At 48.4% G+C, this 21396-nt stretch overlaps 1 protein-coding gene across 11 annotated transcripts in view, besides 1 other annotated feature; it reads left to right on the forward strand.

Moving 5' to 3' along the window:
* Nucleotides 1-21396, forward strand: part of DLEC1 (DLEC1 cilia and flagella associated protein) — an 84818-nt gene that overhangs the window by 28055 nt on the left and 35367 nt on the right. For 10 of the 11 annotated variants that reach the window (XR_940527.3, NM_001321153.2, NM_007335.4 and 7 more), the window contains exons 7-10: nucleotides 16896-16983; nucleotides 18012-18185; nucleotides 18979-19115; nucleotides 21034-21126. Coding sequence is in view for 10 of the 11 variants with exons in the window: in NM_001321153.2 (NP_001308082.1) it covers nucleotides 16896-16983; nucleotides 18012-18185; nucleotides 18979-19115; nucleotides 21034-21126 (492 nt within the window). In the remaining variant the exon portion in view is untranslated. The remainder of the gene's footprint in view (nucleotides 1-16895; nucleotides 16984-18011; nucleotides 18186-18978; nucleotides 19116-21033; nucleotides 21127-21396) is intronic. The other variant, XM_011534318.3, reaches the window with a different exon arrangement.
* Nucleotides 15978-16542: an enhancer, noted in NCBI's record as "OCT4-NANOG hESC enhancer chr3:38124731-38125295 (GRCh37/hg19 assembly coordinates)". NCBI's record gives its function as "activates a minimal SCP1, AML or CMV promoter by ChIP-STARR-seq in naive H9 embryonic stem cells {active_cell/tissue: H9 hESC(naive)}" and the evidence as "EXISTENCE:reporter gene assay evidence [ECO:0000049][PMID:30033119]".

Genomic DNA, 21396 nt, shown 5'->3' on the forward strand with positions numbered 1-21396 from the left:
TGTACCCTTTCTCTGAAACCTCCCAGGGAACATGCTTCTTTAATAGAAATGAGGAAACCAATGAAGAGGAAGGCATGGAATGTGGTACCAAGAGATCCAACATAGGGGAGAGGTGAAGGAAATCTCCAGGTTAATAACTCTTAAGAGATTTTGCAGTTAATATTGCTGCAAAGCAAAATTTCCCAAAGCTCAGCAACTTAAAACAATCATTTTATCATGCTTACAAATTCTTTGGGTGAAAAATTCAGAGAGAGCACAATGGGAATGACTTGTTCCACAATGTCTGAGGCCATTGCTGGAAAGAGTCAGTGCTTAGGGGTGACATAAAAGTTGGGGTTGATGCTGTTGATGCTGTTGTAGATAGAGAGCTGAGGCTGTCTACCAGAATGTCTACACCACATAGCTTCTCTATGTGGGCTGTGCTTCCTTACAGTATGGCAATCTCAGGTTAATCAGACTTTTACATGACAATGCAAGTGAGTATCTGCACTTTTTTTTTTTTTTTTTTGAGATGGAATCTTGCTCTATTACCCAAGCTGGAGTGCAGTTGCAGGATCTTGGCTCACTGCAACCTCTGCCTCTTGGGTTCAAGCAATTCTCCCACTTCAGCCTCCTGTGTAACTGGGATTACAGGTACGCACCACCACGCCTGGCTAATTTTTTATATTTTTGGTAGAGAGAGGGTTTTGCCATGTTGGCCATGCTGGTCTCGAACTCCTGACCTCAGATGATTCACTCGCCTTGGCCTCCCAAAGTCCTGGGATTACAGGCGTGAGCCATTGTACCTGGCCAAGTATCTGCACTTCTAAGTGAGTATCCTAGCAAGCAAGAAGGAGATTGCATCACATTTTATGACCTAATCTTGTAAGTTGCACAGCACTACATCCTCTGCATGCCGTAGATTACAAACAAGTCACTAAGGTTCATCCAGATTCAAGGGAAGATATGTAGACTTCATTTCTTTTTTTTTAAAACCTTTTTTTTTGAAATAAGGTCTGGCTCTGTCGCCCAGGCTGGAGTGCAGTGGCATGATCTTGGCTCACTGCAACCTCTGCCTCCTGGGCTCAAGCAACTCCTCCCAACTCAGCTTCCCAAGAAGCTGGGGCTACAGGTGCAGGCCACCACACCTGGCTAATTTTTGTATTTTTTGTATAGACGGGTTTTTGCTATGTTGCCCAGGCTGGTTTCAAACTCCTGAGCTCAAGCAACCCACCCGCCTCGGCTTCCTAAAGTGCTAGGATTACAGGCGTGAGCCAGTGTCCAGCCTAGACTTCATCTCTAATGAGAACAGTGTCAAAGAACTTATGGATGTGTCTTAAAACTGCTCTAGGAGTTATCCTATATGATAGCAGTAGGTGTAGTGGGCAACTAGCCCAGATTAGAAGAGGCCAGAAAGCTCTAGGAGAGGTTGATTTATGGAGATGACATTGAGAAGAGTCCCTGATACACCTGGACATATGGGGGAGAGATTTGTAGGGTGGTGGAGAAGGATTGAATTATTGATAAGCACAAAGCAAACAAAATAATTAGTTGATTATTCACTCCAGGAAAACCAAAAATTGTACAAGGCAGGGAAAGGAATCACCTCATGCTCAGCTGTGAATAGCAATTACTTAGTAACTTGAATATAACATGAATTACTAATCTAACCAGTAGTATGATATAACTATATTGGAAACATGGGGGATAGGAAGGGCGTGTCATATGGTGAGTCAGATATGGGAGAGGGAAGAGGGAATATCCATATCCTCCATCTATAATTAATACCTAAAACTGAACAAAAGTAGTATACTATTTGGAGACATGGAAATAAATACCAAAATAATCAGCTAAAGGATGAAAAAGTGTTTATCTTTGGGGAGTGGGAAATGGCAGGATGGGGCCAGGGGAAGAGGGCAGTATTCTATTTTCAAAACCTTGTCGAACTCTGACTCTTTAAACCATGTGGCTGTCCAACTTAGAAGAAAACAATTTAAAAAAACCCAAAACTTTCCACAAAAAGAAACACCAGGCCCAGATCATTTTGCAGGCACAGATTATGAAACATTCGAGCTATTCCCTATTTTATGAAACTATTTCAGAGACTAGAAAAAGAGGGAATGTACCATCATTATTAGGTAATAAGCCTAATTACCTTGACACCAAATAAAAATATATACCAGTCTTAAGAACATAGGTGCAGAAATACTAGGTAAAAAACAGCAAACCAAACCAAACAGTAAGGAACAACACACACACACACACACGCAGCCAATTCTTTGAAACCCAGGAACGCAGGGAATGTCTTCACAGCAGGCCTTGAGTTGGCAGTTGGCTCTGCTGAGCCTATTATTTTTTTCCTCCAAAGCTTCCAGTGCTGTTAAGGAAAGCCAGTCCATGCCACAGTCCTTATAATGATCACTATCCCAAACCTTGCAGCCACCACAGCTACCATGTTTCACTCCCTGGCCTTCCACCTGCACCTCATTTCAGTTGACCACTAGTGAAAGCCTTGGTAATTGTGACAATACCATCCCATGGTGCTCACACCCTAGTTCCCACCAGCTGTTTCACAGATGGATTGGTGTAATATGTAGTGTTGGCCAAAAATTGATGTAAATGCTGATTTAGGAATACAAATCTATAAATAAAAATAGGAAGACATACTTCATATTTATGTCAATTTTTATCTGGTGGGGGGCTGGTAGAGGATTTCAACTTTATCTGTAATGTTTTATTTCTTAAGCTGGGTGATGGAAACATGGCTTCTGTCATGTTATAATTTATACATTGTTTTCTAGTGTAACATTTCACAAAATATTAACAAAAGATGTGTACCTGTATTGATGTGCTACACACTGTGCTGGGTGCAGTTGGAGGATTAGGTCTAGACCTTGCCCTTGGGGGTCTCCCAATCTGGGGTGGCAGAAAAGAAAGTGGGGCTTAAAGGGGGTGAGTGGGTTGCGTAAGAGGCCCAATTACATCCTGACATAGAGGTGCCATAACACTCTTTGTGTCCATGGGAAGAATGGTTCAGAGATACGTGTTGAGGAAGACAGTAAGTAAGAGGTGAGGTGAGCAAAACTTTGAAACCAGATATCCTAGGCTCAAACCTAACTGGTGCCTCTTTGAACTCCAGTTTCTTCAGCTGTGAGATAGAAACAGTTCCCACCTTTCCTGGTTGTTGCGAGGTTGAGGAGGTACAGAGCAGATGCTCATAAATAGTAATTGTTATTTTAAACAATAGGTCAGTTTCATGCACGTCCGTGTGAAGAGACTGCTAAACAAGCTTTGTGTGAGCAATAAAAGCTTTTAATCACCTGGGTGCAGGCGAGCTGCGTCCACAAAGAGAGTCAGTGAAAAGAGATGGGGTGGGTCCATTTTATAAGATTTGGGTGGGTAAAGGAAAATTGCAGTCAAAGGGGGTTTGTTCTCTGGCGGGCAGGAGTGGGAGTCGCAAGGTGCTCAGTGGGGGAGCTTTTTGAGCCAGGAAAAGGACTTTCACAAGGTAATGTCATCACTTAAGGCAAGGACCGGCCATTTTCACTTCTTTTGTGGTGGAATGTCATCAGTTAAGGCGGGGCAGGGCATTTTCACTTCTTTTGTGATTCTTTAGTTACTTCAGGCCATCTGGGCATATAGGTGCAAGTCACAGGAGATGCGATGGCTTGCCTTGGGCTCAGAGGCCTGACATTCCTGCCTTCTTATATTAATAAGAAAAATGAAACAAAATAGTGTTGAAGTGTTGGGGTGGCGAAAATTTTTGGGGGATGGTATGGAGAGAGAGAATGGGCGATGTTTCTTAGGGCTGCTTCAAGCGGGATTGGGGCAGCGTGGGAACCTAGAGTGGGAGAGAGAAAGCTGAAGGGAGATCTTGTGGTAAGTGGTGATATCGTGGGGTTGTTAGAAGAAACATTTGTTGTATAGAATGATTGGTGATGGCCTGGATATGGTTTTGGATGAATTGAGAAACTAAACGGAAGATACAAGGTCTGAATAAAAGAAGGAGAAAAATGGGTATTAAAGGACTAAGAATTGGGAGGACCTAGGATATTTAATTAGAGAGTGCCTAAGGGGGTTCAGCGCAATTACTTGCTTGGTTTAGAAGTGATCTCCTTGAGGATAGATTTCCATGATGGAAAGGAAATGAGAGGTTCTAAGAGACGGGCTAGCGGCTTGTAACCTACATGGAAGAGGTTATGAAATGACGACAGAATAGAATGGGCCTGTGAGGCTGGAAGGAGGTATTTTCCTTGGTCTAAGAACTATTTGCCTTGTGTGGGAAGAGATTGATAGGTGGAAATTTCAGCGGGGAAGTAGGTGGGAGTGACCGATGTGAAGGAGAAAAACTGGCCCTGAGGGACAGAAGTTGGAGAGCTAGCTGCTTGTCTAGCCACCTTATCAGCATAAGCGTTGCTTAGAGCAATGGGATCTGACGCCTTTTGATGCCTCTTGCAGTGAATGACCTTAGCCTCCTTTGGAAGTAAAGGGGCCTTGAGTAGAGTTTTTATTAAAGAGGCATTAATGATGGAGGACCCTTGTGTAGTGAGGGAGCCTCTTTCAGCCTATATGACCACATGGTGGTGCAGAATATGAAAGGCATATTTAGAATCAGTGTAGATATTGACGCATAGTCCTTTTCCAAGAGTGAGGGCTTGAGTTAAGGCAACTAGTCTGGCTTGCTGAGAGGTAGTGGAGGGGGGCAGAGTGGTAGCCTCAATGATAGATGTGGAAGATACTATAGCATAGCCTGCCTTTGCTGGTGAGTGGCAATTAGGCCTGGTGGAACTGCCATCAATAAACCAAGTGTGATTAGGGTGAGAAACAAGGAAGAAGGAAATGTGGGGAAATGGGGTGAACATCAGGTGGATCAGAGAGATGCAGTCATGAGGGTCAGGTGTGGTATCTGGAATAATGTGGGAGGCCAGATTGAAGTCCAGGCCAGGAACAATGGTAACTGTGGGAGATTCAACGAAGAGTGAGTGTAGCTGAAGGAGCCGGGGAGCAGAAAGTATATGCGTCAGGTGTGAGGAAGAAAATAGATTTTGGAAATTATGAGAGCTGTAGAGAGTGAGTTGAGCATAGTTTGTGATTTTGAGGGCCTCTAAAAGTATTAGGGCGGCAGCAGCCACTGCACGGAGACATGATGGCCAGCCTAAAACAGTAAGGTCAAGTTGTTTGGACAAAAAGGCTACAGGACGCGATCCTGGTCCTTGTGTAAGAATTCTGACTGCACAGCCCTGCACTTCGGCTGTGTGTAATGAAAAGAGTTGGGATGAGTCAGGGAGAGCTAGAGTGGGGGCAGTCTCTAAAGCTGTCTTCAAGGAACAGAAAGAGGAGTGGGGAAAGGATTTAGGATCTATGGGGTCAACTAGGTTTCCTTTTGTGAGTTTATATAATGGTTTTGTTAGGATGGCAAAACCAGGTATCTAAAGGCGAAAATATCTAACCATGCCTAGGAAGGAAAGGAGTTGTTGTTTTGTAGAAGGGGTTGGGGTTTGAGAGATTAGTCGGGCACGATTGGCAGGGAGAGCACGTGTGTTTTTATGAAGAATTATGCCGAGGTAGGTAATGGATGGAGAAGACATTTGAGTTTTGGAGGGAGATACCTGATATCCTTTGGAGAATAAATGTTGAAGGAGCAGAAGTGTGTCTTGTTGAGAAGATTCAAAGGAGGGGCTACAAAGAAGAAGGTCATCAATATATTGAATAAGGTGAGAAGCGGAGGGGTGGAAAGAAAGTAAATCACGAGAAAGAGCTTGGCTGAAGTAATGAGGGCTGTCCCTGAAACCTTGCGGCAGCACAGCCCAGGTAAGCTGCTGGGACTGATGGGTGACAGGGTCAGTCCAGGTGAAAGCAAAGAGAGGCTGGGATGAGGAGTGCAGGGGAATAGTGAAAAAAGCATCTTTAAGATCGAGAACAGAACACTGAGTTGTGGAGGAAGGTATTGAGGACAAAAGAGTGTATGGGTTGGGCACCACAGGATGGATGGCAAAACAATTTGGTTGATAAGGTGCAGATCCTGAACTAATCTGTAAGACTTGTCTGGTTTTTGGACAGGTAAAGTGGGGGAATTGTAAGGAGAGTTTTTAGGTTTTAGAAGCCCATGCTGTAGCAGGCGAGTGATAACAGGCTTTAATCCTTTTAAAGTGTGCTGTGGGATGGGATATTGGCATTGAGTGGGGTAAGGGTGATTAGGTTTTAATGGGATGGTAATAGGCATGTGATCAGTTGCCAGGGAAGGAGTAGAGATGTCTTATACTTGTGGGTTAAGGTGGGGGGATACGAGAGGAAGACACAAAGGAGGCTTTGGGTTGGGGAGAAGAGCGGCAATGAGATGCGGCTATAGTAGTCAGGGAAGCAGATAATTTGGTTAAAATATCTCGGCCTAATAAGGGAACTGGGCAGGTGGGGATAACTGAAAAAGAGTGCATAAAAGAGTGTTGCCCAAGTTGGCACCAGAGTGGGGGAGTTTTCAGGGGTTTTGAAGCTTGGCCGTCAGTACCTACAACAGTTATTGGGGCTAGGGAAACAGGCCTTTGAAAAGAAGGCAACATGGAGTGGGTAGCCCCTGTGTCGATTAAACAGGGGATGGACTTACTCTCCACTGTGAGAGTTACCTGAAGCTCAGCATCTGTGATGGTCTAGGGGGATTCTGAGGTGATCGGGCAGCATCAATCTTCAGTCGCTAAGCTGAGCAGATCTGGGAAGGAGTCGGTCAGAGAGCCTTGGGCTAGAGCTTTAGGGGCTCTAGGAGTGGCTGCTGGGCGAGCTGGGCAGTCTGCCTTCCAGTGGGTCCTTACACAGATGGGACATGGCTTGGAAGGAATCCTGGGCTGCAGGCATTCCTTGGCCTAGTGGCCAGATTTCTGGCACTTGAAGCAGGATCCTGATGGAGGAAGTCTTGTAGGAATGCTTGACTGCTGCAGCTTAGGCATTTTGAAGTTCTTGTATGCTGGAGGTGTGGCTGAGTTTTGTCTCACAGCAGAGGCAAGTAATTGTAACTCAGAAATGCGTTGCCATCTGGCTGCTTCCTCTCTATTATTGTACACCTTGAAGGTGAGGTTGATTAATTCCTGTTTGTGGGGTTTGAGGGCCAGATTCTAATTTTTGAAGTTTTTTCCTAATGTCAGGAGTGGATTGGGTGATAAAATGCATATTGAGAATAAGGCGGCCTTCTGGCCCCTCTGGGTCTAGGGCGGTAAAGCGTCTAAGGGTTGCTGCTTAAGCGGGCCATGAACTGGGCTGGGTTTTCGTCTTTACCTTGGGTAGTTTCTTTAAGCTTGTCAGAATTAACAGCTTTGTAAGCTGCCTTTTTAAGCCTTTCAACTAGGCAGGAAATCATGTAATCTTGCCTAGCTATACCTGGGGAATTTGTCTGGTAGTTCCATTGGGGATCCTCTTGGGGAACTGCTCTAATGCCTTCCTGGAGGTCAGGTTCATGAAGCCGGCGGTTATCAGCATGAGATTGGGCTAGAGAAAAAACTCTTTCCTGTTCATCTGGGGAGAGGGTAGAAGTCAGGATGACATTTAAGTCACTCCAGGTTAAATTGTAGGACAGAGTTAGATATCAGAATTCCTGTATATATTTAGTGGGGTCTGATGAGAAAGAGCCTAAACGCTGACTGATTTGAGAGAGGTCTGATAGAGAAAAAGGTACATGTACCCTGACTATGCCTTTAGCTCCAGCCACCTCTCTAAGAGGAAATTGTTGGGCGGGTGGGGAAAAGCTAGTCGCAGAACTAAACTGTAAGCCGGACCGGGTGTGAGGAGGGGAGGTGGTAGAAGGATTATAGGATGGAAGAGCGGAGGCTGAGGAAGAATTGGGACTTAGCTCAACCTGGCCATGAGCAGCCTGAGGAGGAGGGGAAAGGTCAGATGGGCCTGTAGAAGGAAGACTGGAAAGATTCAACGACGCTTGGGGTTGGGACTGAGGGGGCAGGCGGGAAGGAAAGAAGGAGGATTTGGGAGGAATCGCATTGGGAACAGAGACTAGGGAGGGAACAAAGTGTGAAAAGTGCCTGGACGTAAGGCACCTCAGACCATTTGCCTATTTTTTGACAAAAATTATTTAGGTCTTGTAGGATGGAGAAATTGAAAGTGCCATTTTCTGGCCATTTAGAGCCATTGTCAAGTTTGTATTGGGGCCAAGCAGTGTTGCAGAAGAAAATAAGGCATTTAGGTTTTAGGTCAGATGTGAGTTGAAGAGGTTTTAAGTTCTTGAGAACACAGGCTAAGGGAGAAGAAGGAGGAATGGAGGGTGGAAGGTTGCCCATAGTGAAGGAGGCAAGCCCAGAGAAAAGAGAGAGTAGAGACACGGAGGGAAGGGGTTCGGGGGTTCTTACCCTCCAGAAAAGTGGGAAAGGGGTCGGGGCGTGGAAATAAGGGGTTGGGGCACAGAGATAAGAGGTCAGGGCATGGAAATAAGGGATCGGGGTGCAGAGATAAGAGGTCGGGGCACAGAAATAAGGGATTGGGGCACAGGGATAAGAGGTTGGGGCATGGAAATAAGGGATTGGGGGTTCTTGCCCCCTAGAAAAGCGGGACTTGCCACTAAGGGTGAAGGAGAAGGGGTTGAGGGGTTCTTGCCTCTCCCCTAGAAAAGCAGAGAAGGGGTAGAGACTCAGAGAGAAGGGGTTGGGGTACTTGCCCCTCCCCTAGAAAAGCGGGACTTGCCACTAAGGGTGAAAGACCAAGGCAGGTGTCCTTGTGTGGTCTGACACCTCTGAAACGTGGGTGAATAATCAGAGAGGCATCCCTGCAATGATTAAACATCAAGGGAAGGCTGCCTTCCTAGTCTGTGACCGGCACCGGAGTTTTGGGTCCACGGATAAAACATGTCTCCTTTGTCTCTACCAGAAAATGAAAGGAATTGAAATTAAGAGAAGGGAGAGATTGAAGGGTGGCGCCAAGATTGAAAGGAGAAAGAGGTTGAGGGATAGTGAGGGAGGTTGGAGAAGAGAGTAAAAAGAGGCCGCTTACCAGATTTGAAATTGGTGAGATGTTTCTTGGGCTCATCGGTCTGAGGACCTGAGGTCGTAGGTGGTTTCATGTGCGTCCGTGTGAAGAGACCACCAAACAGGCTTTGTGTGAGCAATAAAGCTGTTTATTTCACCTGGGTACAAGTGGGCTGAGTCTGAAAAGAGAGTCAGTGAAGGGAGATGGGGTGGGGCTGTTTTATAAGATTTGGGTGGGTAAAGGAAAATTACAGTCAAAGGGGGTTTGTTCTCTGGCAGGCAGGAGTGGGGGTCGCAAAGTACTCAGTGGGGGAGCTTTTTGAGCCAGGATGAGCCAGGAAAAGGACTTTCACAAGGTAATGTCATCACTCAAGGCAAGGACCGGCCATTTACACTTCTTTTGTGGTGGAATGTCATCAGTTAAGGTGGGGCAGGGCATATTCACTTCTTTTGTGATTCTTCAGTTACTTCAGGCCATCTGGGCATATACATGCAAGTCACAGGGGATGCAATGTCTTGGCTTGGGCTCAGAGGCCTGACATTCCTGCCTTCTTATATTAATAAGAAAAATAAAACAAAATAGTGGTAAAGTGTTGGGACAGCAAAAATTTTGGGGGATGGTATGGAGCGATAATGGGCGATGTTTCTCAGGGCTGCTTTGATCAGGATTAGGGGCAGCGTGGGAACCTAGAGTGGGAGAGATTAAGCTGAAGGAAGATTCTGTGGTAAGGGGTGATATTGTGGGGTTGTTAGAAGAAACATTTGTTGTGTAGAATTATTGGTGATGGCCTGGATACAGTTTTGTATGAATTGAAAAACTAAATGGAATAAGAGAAGGAGAAAAACAGATATAAAAGGTCTAAGAACTGGGAGGACCTAGGACATCTGATTAGAGAGTGCCTAAGGAGATTCAGCATAGTCCTGCCAGCAAAGATTATTTATTTACTTCAAGAGTTAAGAATGGCAGTTTGGGGATAGCACGAGGAGATATCAGCTGTGATGGCTTGGAGAAACAGTGTAAACCGGCAGTGTAAACAAGAGCAGGGCATGTATGAGTAGTTGAGAATGGAGAATAGGAGTATGACTAGACAGAAAATAGTAGGGATGACAAGTGTTTTTGGGGCACAGTCTAAGTTGGTCCAGTGTCTGGAATGAGACTGGGACCTAATAAAAAGGAGCTCAAATGGGCTGTACCTTGTAGCATTCCGAGGACAGGTCTGATTTCTGAGAAGGGAAAGTGGTGAAAGTATTGTCCAGTCCTTTTTAAGTTGGTGGCTGAGCTTGGTGAGGTTTGTTTTTAAAAGACCTTTAGTCTGTTCTACTTTTCTTGAAGACAGAGGACCGTAAGGGATATAAAGGTTTCCTGAAAAACTGCTTGGCTGATTTGACAAATAAAGGCTGGTCTGTTATCAGATTGTATAGAGGTGGGAAGGCTAAACTGAGGAATTATGTCTGACAGAAGGGAAGAAATTACTGGGATGGCCTTCTCAGACCCTGTAGGAAAGGCCTCTACTTATCTAGTGAAAGTGTCTACTTAGACTAAGAGGTATTTTAGTTATCTGACTCAGGGCATGTTGAGTAAAGCTAATTTGCCAGTCCTGGGTGGGGGCAAATCTTCAAGCTTGATGTGTAGGGAAGGGAGGGGGCCTGAATAATCCCTGAGGAGTAGTAGAATAGCAGATGGAACACTGAGAAGTTATTTCCTCGAGGATAGATTTCCACAATGGAAAGGAAATGAGAGGTTCTAAGAGGCGGGCTAGTGGCTTGTACTATAGCATAGCCTGCCTTTGCTGGTGTGTGGCGATTAGGCCTGGTGGAACTGCCATCAATAAATCAAGCATGATCAGGGTGAGGGACAGGAAAGAAGGAAATATGGGGAAATGGGGTGAATGTCAGGTGGATCAGAGAGATACAGTCATGGGGGTCAGGTGTGTTATCAGGAATAATGTGAGAGGCCAGATTGAGGTCCGGGCCAGGAACAATGGTAACTGTGGGACTTAACAAAGAGTGAGTACAGCTGAAGGAGCCGGGGAGCAGAAAGTATATGCGTCAGGTATGAGGAAGAAAATAGATTTTGGAAGTTATGAGAAATGTAGAGAGTGAGTTGAGCATAATTTGTGATTTTTAGGGCTTCTAAAAGTATTAAAGCAGCAGCAGCCGCTGCACGCAGACATGAGGGCTAGGCTAAAACAGTAAGGTCAAGTTGTTTGGACAGAAAGGCTACAGGGTGCGGTCCTGGCTCTTGTGTAAGAAATCCGACTGCACTAACCATGCCTAGGAAGGAAAGGAGTTGTTGTTTTGTAACAGATTGAGGTTTGGGAGATTAATTGGGCACAATCAGCAGGGAGAGCACGTGTGTTTTTATGAGAATTATGCCGAGATAGGTAACAGATGAGGACGAAATTTGGGCTTGACTGAAGTAATGGGGTCTATCTGTGAAGTCTTGCGGCAGTACAGCCCAGGTAATTTGCTGAGCCTAATGGGTGTCAGGGTCAGTCTAAGTGAAAGCAAAGAGAGGCTGGGATGAAGGGTGCAAAGGAATAGTAAAGAAAGCATGTTTGAGATCCAGAACAGAATAATGGGTAGTAGAGGGAGGTATTGAGGACAGGAGAGTATATGGGTTTGACACCATGGGGTGGATAGGCAAAACAATTTGGTTGATAAGGCATAGATCCTGAACTAACTTGTAAGGCTTGTCTGGTTTTAGGACAGGTAAAATGGAGGAATTGTAAGGAGAGTTTATAGGCTTTAAAAGGCCATGCTGTAGCAGGCGAGTGATAACAGGCTTTAATCCTTTCAAAACATGCTGTGGGATGGGATATTGGCATTGAGCGGGGTAAGGGTGATTAGGTTTTAATGAGATGGTAAGGGGTGCATGATCGGTCGCCAAGGAGGGAGTAGAGGTATCTTATACTTGTGGGTTAAGGTGGGGGAATACAAGAGGAGGGCCCAAAGGAGGCTTTGGATTGGGAAGAAGGGCAGCAATGAGATGTAGCTGTAATCCAGGAATAGTCAGGGAAGCAGATAATTTAGTTAAAGTGTCTCGGCCTAATAAGGGAACTGGGCAGGTGGGGATAACTAAAAGGAGTGCTTAAAAGAGTATTGTCTAAGTTAGCACCAGAGTTGGGGAGTTTTAAGAGGTTTAGAAGCCTGGCTGTCAATACCCACAACAGTTATGGAGGCAAGGGAAACAGGCCCTTGAAAATAAGGTAATGTGGAGTGGGTAGCCTCCGTATTGATTAAGAAGGGGACAGACTTACCTTCCACTGTGAGAGTTACCCAAAGCTCGGTGTCCGTGATGGTCTAGGGGGCTTTGGAGGCGATCGGGCAGCATCAGTCTTCAGGCACTAAGCCAAGAAGACCTGGGAAGGAGTCAGTCAGAGAGCCTTGGGCCAGAGTTCCAGGGGCTCTGGGAGTGGCTGCCAGGTGAGTTGGACAGTCCGATTTCCAGTGGGGTCCCACACAGATGGGACGTGGCTTAGGAGAAATCCCGGGTTGCAGGCATTCCTTGGCCTGGTGGTCAGATTTCTGGCACTCGTAGCAAGCTCCTGGGGGAGGAGGTTCTGGAGGAATGCCTGGCTGCTGCGGTTCAGGCGTTTGGAAGTTCTCGTGTGCTGGAGATGTGGCTGGGGTTTGTCTCACAGTGGAGGCAAGGAATTGCAACTTTTTTCTATTATTGTACACCTTGAAGGTGAGGCTAATTAAGTCCTGTTGTGGGGTTTGAGGGCTGGAATTTAATTTTTGGAGTTGTATTTAATGTCAGGAGCGGATTGGGTAATAAAATGTATATTGAGAATAAGATAGCCCTTTGACCTTTTAGGGTCTAGGGCTGTAAAGCGTCTCAGGGTTGCTGCTGAAGGAGCCATGAACTGGGCTGGGTTTTTATATTTGATGAAAAAGCCTAAATGCTGTCTGATTTGGGATAAAGAAAAAGGAGCATTAACCTTGACTATGCCTTTAGCTCCAGCCACCTTTTTAAGAGTAAATTGCTGGGCAGGTGGGGGAGGGCTAGTCACGGAACGAAACTGTAAGCCGGACCAGGTGTGAGGAGGGGAGGTGATAAAAGGATTATAGGGTGGAGGAGCAGAGGCTGAAGAAGAATTGGGACCTAGCTTGGCCTGGTGAGGAGGGGAGAGGTCAGATGGGTCTGTAGAAAAGGAAGATTAGAAAGACTCAATGATGCTTGGGGTTGGGACTGAGGGGACAGGCGGGAGGGAAAGAAGGAAGATTTGGGACGAGTTGCATTGGGCACAGAGACTAGGAAGGGACTGATGTGTAAAAGAATGCCTGGACATCAGGCACCTCAGACCGTTTGCCTATTTTATGACAATTATTTAGATCTTGTAGGATGGAAAAATTGAAAGTGCCGTTTTCCAGCTATTTGGAACTACTGTCGAGTTTGTATTGGGGCCAAGCGGTGTTGCAGAAGAAAACAAGGCATTTAGGTTTTAGGTCAGGTGTGAGTTGAAGAGCTTTTAAGTTCTTGAGAACACAGGCTAAGGGAGGAGAAGGAGGAATGGAGGGTGGAAGGTTGCCCATAGTGAAGGAGGCAAACACAGAGAGAAGAGAGCGTAGAGACACGGAGGGAAGGGGTTCGGGTGTTCTTTTTTTTTTTTTTTTTTTTAATTTATTTTTTATTGATAATTCTTGGGTGTTTCTCACAGAGGGGGATTTGGCAGGGTCATGGGACAATAGTGGAGGGAAGGTCAGCAGATAAACAAGTGAACAAAGGTCTCTGGTTTTCCTAGGCAGAGGACCCTGCGGCCTTCCGCAGTGTTTGTGTCCCTGATTACTTGAGATTAGGGATTGGTGATGACTCTTAACGAGCATGCTGCCTTCAAGCGTCTGTTTAACAAAGCACATCTTGCACCGCCCTTAATCCATTTAACCCTGAGTGGACACAGCACATGTTTCAGAGAGCACAGGGTTGGGGGCAAGGTCACAGATCAACAGGATCCCAAGGCAGAGGAATTTTTCTTAGTGCAGAACAAAATGAAAAGTCTCCCATGTCTACTTCTTTCTACACAGACACGGCAACCATCCGATTTCTCAATCTTTTCCCCACCTTTCCCGCCTTTCTATTCCACAAAGCAGCCATTGTCATCCTGGCCCGTTCTCAATGAGCTGTTGGGCACACCTCCCAGACGGGGTGGTGGCCGGGCAGAGGGGCTCCTCACTTCCCAGTAGGGGCGGCCGGGCAGAGGCGCCCCTCACCTCCCGGACGGGGCGGCTGGCCGGGCGGGGGGCTGACCCCCCAACCTCCCTCCCGGACGGGGCGGCTGGCCGGGCAGAGGGGCTCCTCACTTCCCAGTAGGGGCGGCCGGGCAGAGGCGCCCCTCACCTCCCGGATGGGGCGGCTGGCCGGGCAGGGGGCTGAGCCCCTCACCTCCCGGACGGGGCGGCTGGCCGGGCGGAGGGCTGACCCCCCCACCTCCCTCCCGGACGGGGCGGCTGGCCGGGTGGGGGGGCTGACCCCCCCATCTCCCTCCCGGACGGGGTGGCTGGCCGGGCTGAGGGGCTCCTCACTTCCCAGTAGGGGCGGCCGGGCAGAGGCGCCCCTCACCTCCCGGACGGGGCGGCTGGCCGGGCGGGGGGCTGACCCCCCCACCTCCCTCCCGGACGGCACGGCTGGCCAGGCGGGGGGCTGACCCCCCCACCTCCCTCCCGGATGGGGCGGCTGGCCGGGCGGGGGGCTGACCCCCCCCCACCTCCCTCCCGGACGGGGTGGCTGCCGGGCGGAGATGCTCCTCACTTCCCAGATGGGGTGGCTGCCGGGCGGAGAGGCTCCTCACTTCTCAGACGGGGCAGCTGCCGGGCGGAGGGGCTCCTCACTTCTCAGACGGGGTGGTTGCCAGGCAGAGGGTCTCCTCACTTCTCAGACGGGGCGGCCGGGCAGAGACCCTCCTCACCTCCCAGACGGGGTCTCGGCCAGGCAGAGGCGCTCCTCACATCCCAGATGGGGCGGCGGGGCAGAGGCGCTCCCCACATCTCAGACGATGGGCGGCCGGGCAGAGACGCTCCTCACTTCCTAGATGTGATGGCGGCTGGGAAGAGGCTCTCCTCACTTCCTAGATGGGATGGCGGCCGGGCGGAGACGCTCCTCACTTTCCAGACTGGGCAGCCAGGCAGAGGGGCTCCTCACATCCCAGACGATGGGCGGCCAGGCAGAGACACTCCTCACTTCCCAGACGGGGTGGCGGCCGGGCAGAGGCTGCAATCTCGGCACTTTGGGAGGCCAAGGCAGGCGGCTGCTCCTTGCCCTCGGGCCCCGCGGGGCCCGTCCCGGTTCGGGTGTTCTTAACCCTCCAGAAAAGTGGGAAAGGGGTCAGGGCACGGAAATAAGGGATTGGGGCACAGAGATAAGAGGTTGGGGTGTGGAAATAAGGGATTGGGGGTTCTTGCCCCCTAGAAAAGCGGGACTTGCCGCTAAGGGTGAAGGAGAAGGGGTTGAGGGGTACTTGCCCCTCCCCCAGAAAAGCAGAGAAGGGGTAGAGACTCAGAAGGGGTTGGGGTACTTGCCCCTCCCCCAGAAAAGCAGAGAAGGGGTAGAGACATGGAGAGAAGGGGTTGGGGTACTTGCCCCTCCCCCAGAAAAGCGGGACTTGCCGCTAAGGGTGAAGGACCAAGGCAGGCCTCCCTGCGTGGTCTGACACCTTTGAAACGTGGGTGAATGATCAGAGAGGTGTCCCTGCAATGATTAAACACTACGGGAAGGCTGCCTTCCCAGTCCGTGACCGGCGCCGGAGTTTTGGGTCCACAAATAAAACGTGTCTCCTTTGTCTCTACCAGAAAATGAAAGGAATTGAAATTAAGAGAAGGGAGAGATTGAAGGGTGGCACCAAGATTGAAAGGAGAAAGAGGTTGAGGGATAGTGAGGGAGGTTGGAGAAGAGAGTAAAAAGAGGCCGCTTACCGGATTTGAAATTGGTGAGATGTTTCTTGGGCTCATCGGTCTGAGGACCTGAGGTCGTAGGTGGTTTCATGTGCGTCCGTGTGAAGAGACCACCAAACAGGCTTTGTGTGAGCAATAAAGCTGTTTATTTCACCTGGGTACAAGTGGGCTGAGTCTGAAAAGAGAGTCAGCGAAGGGAGATGGGGTGGGGCTGTTTTATAAGATTTGGGTGGGTAAAGGAAAATTACAGTCAAAGGGGGTTTGTTCTCTGGCAGGCAGGAGTGGGGGTTGCAAAGTACTCAGTGGGGGAGCTTTTTGAGCCAGGATTGGCCAGGAAAAGGACTTTCATAAGGTCACATCATCACTTAAGGCAAGGATGGGCCATTTTCACTTCTTTTGTGGTGGAATGTCATCAGTTAAGGCAAGGACCAGCCATTTACACTTCTTTTGTGGTGGAATGTCATCAGTTAAGGCAAGGACCAGCCATTTACACTTCTTTTGTGGTGGAATGTCATCAGTTAAGGTGGGGCAGGGCATTTTCACTTCTTTTGTGATTCTTCAGTTACTTCAGGCCATCTGGGCATATACCTGCAAGTCACAGGGGATGCAATGGCTTAGCTTAGGCTCAGAGTTCTGACAGATCTATTCCTGCCTTCATTTTTACCTTGTATTTTATTTATTTGTTTTTAAAATTTTAAACTAATTTTTTTGTTTTTTTTTTTGGTAGAGAGAGTCTCTTCATGTTGTCCAGGCAGGTCTCAAACTTCTGACCTCAAGTGATCCGCCTGCCCCAGCCTCCCAAAGTGCCGGGATTACAGGCGTGAGCCACCACACCTGGCCTGTATTTTATTTTTTACTATGGAAACTTCCCAAAACAAACAAAAGTACATAGGATGGCATAATGAATCCCCATGTACCCCTCAGCCAGCTTCGACAGTTACCAACATGTGGCCAAGCCTATTTCATTTCTACCTCTACCCCCTTCTCATATTAGAGTAAATCCTGGACATCGTATCATTTCGTCTATAAGTGTTGCTGTCTAAAAGAGATCATCTTACCTTTCAACAGATGGTAATTGCGCTGCAGAACACCACCACGACCAGCCGCTACCTGCGAGTCCTCCCGCCTTCCACGCCATACTTCGCTCTGGGACTGGGTAAGTTCAGTATTTGTAAGTTCATTAGTAGTAGTGGTAATAGTAGTGGTGGTATTAGTAGTAATAGTAGTAGTGGTGGTAGTAATGGTAGCAATGATAGTAGTAGTGGTGGTGGTAGTAGTAGTAGTGATGGTGGTAGTAGTGGTAGTAGTAGTAGTGGTGGTGGTAGTAGTAGTGGTAGTAGTAGTAGTGGTGGTGGTGGTGGTGGTAGTAGTAATAGTAGTGGTGGTGGTGGTAGTAGTGGTGGTAGTAGTAGTGGTAGTAGTAGTAGTGGTAGTAGTAGTAGTGGTGGTGGTAGTAGTAGTGGTAGTAGTAGTGGTAGTAGTAGTAGTGGGGGGGTGGTAGTAGTAGTAGTAGCAGTAGCAGTAGCAGTACTGCTACTACTTTGAGGATTGCCTCAAAGTCACTTGCTGGGCTTGCTGCCAGTTGCTGACTCCCGCCCTGAGTCTACAGCCTGGGCCTGGACTCCCCCCATCAGCAGTCCTTGAGGGCTCCTCATGCTCCACCAGCAATGTGTCCTCAGAGCCTTGACAGCTCCTTTCTCCTGACCGCCTCCACCCAGGCACTGGTCCTGCTATCTCCCCACTCCTCGTGCTGCCATTCTCCTCAATCAGGCCCTCTCTATTCCTCACTTAAGCCTCAGCAGCAGCCCCCCAGCCAGCCTTCCTACTTTAGTGTCACAGTATTTGTCTTAAGAACAACTCTGATCATGTCACCCCGTTCAGAAATCTCAAAAGTTTCTCTGCTATCCACCAAAGAAATTCTAAGCCATAGGGCCAGGCATGGCCCCACCTGACCTTTCTGGATGGATGGTGTCATTTCCCCCCAGGCTCTGGCATGCTTACCTGGAGTCGCCACCCTTGCAGCCTGCTCCCCTCGCATGCCCTTTTCCTGCCATCAGCGTGGCTTTGGCCCAGAAGGCACTTACAGAGCCAGCCCTGGCAGGGCTGGGGTCTGTACCAGCTGAGCTCAAGCCCTGGTGGCTGGCTGCTCCCAGGATCCTCACTTGTCACTTTTGTCATGCACAGGGATGTTCCCAGGAAAAGGTGGAATGGTGGCTCCTGGAATGACCTGCCAGTACATTGTCCAGTTTTTTCCCGACTGCCTTGGGGATTTTGATGATTTTATTTTAGTGGAGACCCAGTCAGCCCACACACTTCTGATCCCCCTGCAGGCCCGGAGGCCGCCCCCCGTGCTGACATGTGAGTGTGCACCGTAGCTTCCCACAGATTCAGTTAAGGTTGGAGAGTCCCCATAAGGACTGCCTGCCTCTCAGGTTCCCTTTGTATCAGCACACAGCTTGGCTCTCTTGGGCAGGGGCCGTGGGTCCTGCAGAGGAAACTGCTAGCAGCTTCTGTAGCCATCCACAGTGTCAAGCCATGATTGTTCTGCTTGCTTTTGGGTTTTCTCAGTGGAGGTTGACTCACAGCAGGGGATGAGGCCAACAGTCCAGCTAACCCCACCATAGGTTTTGCTGGCTTATGAACATCCCTGAGGGGACCTGTGCCACAGTGGGCAAGGAAGAAGTGCCTGTGCACCCTGAGGAGTCCTAACAGGTCGTCGTTGTCCTCGTGGCTGTGGGGGTAGGAGTCCTTAGCAAAGCTGGCTTCAGCTGGGCTCCCTCAGCGACAAGCTTCTACAGCTGGGCATAGGCTGGAATTTGGGACCGTGATCCCCCTTACTTCTGCCATAGCCCCCAAGGACCATGCTGGGTGGCCCTGGCTGAGCATGAATCCACAATGGGCACTGACTTCTGCTGCTCTAGCCAGGAGTGAATAGAGTCCCATGGCACTATTGCCATGTGGCCAGCAGCAGCCTGGGCAGAGCCCAAGTGGGTGTAGGGTCAGGACATGTCCCCACTCATCCTCTCTGCATAGGGTGCTGGGCTGGGACCAGCTGTCCTGATCTCTGGCTGTACCTCAGGAGAAGCATGACAGTAGGGCCTATTAAGAGTGACCTGTTGTTTCTCTTGCACATGTTCTCCTGTGGCTACAGTGTCACCGGTGTTGGACTGTGGTTACTGCCTCATTGGGGGAGTCAAGATGACCAGATTCATCTGCAAAAATGTGGGTTTCAGTGTTGGCAGGTTCTGCATTATGCCCAAAACAAGCTGGCCACCACTAAGTTTCAAGGTGAGTGATCACAGGTTGCTAACTGGAAAAATTACAAGTCCATCAAAGGAAATAACCCCCAGAGGAACTTACTAGAGTATACCTATGATTGGAAACACACAGAACGCAGAGTGTTGTAAACTCTCTATGCAACTGCCACAACCCGAATGAGAATGGATGTATAAGGGTCCAGTGTTGTAGTTCTGGTTATGTCACTAATACCTGTACCATGCTGGGCAAGCGGTATCACCTCTCTTATCCTTCAAGCCCTGGCTCAAATGTGACTGCATTCACTCATTCAGTCCTTCTTTATTGTAGCAAATGACTGAATAGTTCAGAGGTTACAAATTGGCTGCCCTTTGGCCAAATTCTGCTGGTATTTGTTTGGCACAGCACTTAACATTTTCTGAGCCAACATTTAAAAATAAGGAGATTTGGCCAGGCGCAGTGGCTCACACATGTAATCCCAGCACTTTGGGAGGCTGAGGCAGGCAGATTACCTGAGGTCAGGGGTTTGAGACCAGCCTGGCCAATATGATGAAACACCGTCTCTACTAAAAATAAAAAATTAGCCGGGTGTGGTGGCATGTGCCTGTAGTCCCAGCTACTCAGGAGGCTGAGGAAGGAGAATCACTTGAACCCGGGAGGTGGAGGTTGCAGTGAGCCGAGATCGCACCACTACACTCCAGCCTGGGCGACAGAGTGAGACTCCATCTCAAAAAAAAAAAAAAAATGGAGATTTTATATAAAGTTCTACATTTCCAGTCCTTTGAAAAACTGGAAGATATGAAGGCCAGGGCCAGGATTCACTGTGAGCCTGTTGGCCAGGGCTGGGGGCAGGCCCTGTGTACCTTGTCCTGAGTGCCCAGCTCCACCAGTCCCAAGAGCATCCCAGCACTGACACCATCCATCAGCATGCTCACACCATCCATCAGCACTGACACCATCCATCAGCACTGACACCATCCATCAGCATGCTCACACCATCCATCAGCACTGACACCATCCATCAGCACTGACACCATCCATCAGCATGCTCACACCATCCATCAGCACTGACACCATCCATTAGCACTGACACCATCCATCAGCATGCTCACACCATCCATCAGCACTGACACCATCCATCAGCATGCTCACACCATCCATCAGCACTGACACCATCCATCAGCACTGACACCATCCATCAGCATGCTCACACCATCCATCAGCACTGACACCATCCATCAGCATGCTCACACCATCCATCAGCACTGACACCATCCATTAGCATGCTCACACCATTATTTTTCTCATAGCAAAGATATTTATTTGTACCCAGAAAACAAGGGATACATCTAGAGGATGACATTTCAAGATGTTCCAAGAAAGACATTTCACTCATTTCTGTTACTGACCAGGGTCTTGTAGGCATGGGTTTGTGTCCCTGGCATGCTAAGTGACTTCTTGTGTAGGCACTGGGGCTGCAGCTCTCGTGCCTCAGGAGCTTGTAGCCAGGGGTGGGTCAGGGTTGGAGGCAGACACATATGCTAGCACCTGTGACACTGGGTGTTACTGTAGGAAAAGGACAATGTGCTTTGGGAGCCCAGGGGAGGGCCCACTCAGCTCACCTCCTGAGTGAGACCTTCTCACACGCTTGTCACTTTGTGTCCCAATCACTTGGTGATGGTGTTCCTTGTACCTCCTGTCAGTAGTCAGCTCTTCACAGATGTTCTAAGACTTACTCTCCTTAACCTTCAGAACCTCACCTGGTACCTGGTGATGGCTGAGTAAATGCCTGCTGAATGAATAAGCCTCAGTTTTTTCATTACCATGTGACTGGATGATCCTTAAGTTCCTTCACATTGCAAAATGGATGTTTGAAGGAGAGAAGTTTGCAATCTGAATACTGGCTTTTACAATGTCTTCCACACTGTTGGGTAATCTGCTTTTCTTTAAGGCCATTGCAACCGTCGGCTTTGTTGAACAACCTCCTTTTGGAATCCTGCCTTCGGTGTTTGAGCTGGCCCCGGGACATGCTATATTAGTGGAGGTAGGTAATCAGACATTGGCATGTATTTCCTCAACTGCTTGCATGCTTGCATTTGTCTCTGTTTTCATGACTCAAGTGTCCAGTCCCATCCCATATCACAGCCTTAGTGACTTCTGGGTAGACGCATATTCTTGCATTCTGTAGGGTGATGTCAGATGTCATTTGACTGTCTTATGAGCATTTTCACAAAGCAAATGCAGATAGCCCTAGCATCACATCACAAACCTGAGCCTTGCTAGTCCACACCTTTAGTCTGGGAGCTACCTCCAC

This window comes from Homo sapiens, chromosome 3, assembly GCF_000001405.40.
Source record: "Homo sapiens chromosome 3, GRCh38.p14 Primary Assembly".
NCBI lineage: Eukaryota > Metazoa > Chordata > Mammalia > Primates > Hominidae > Homo > Homo sapiens.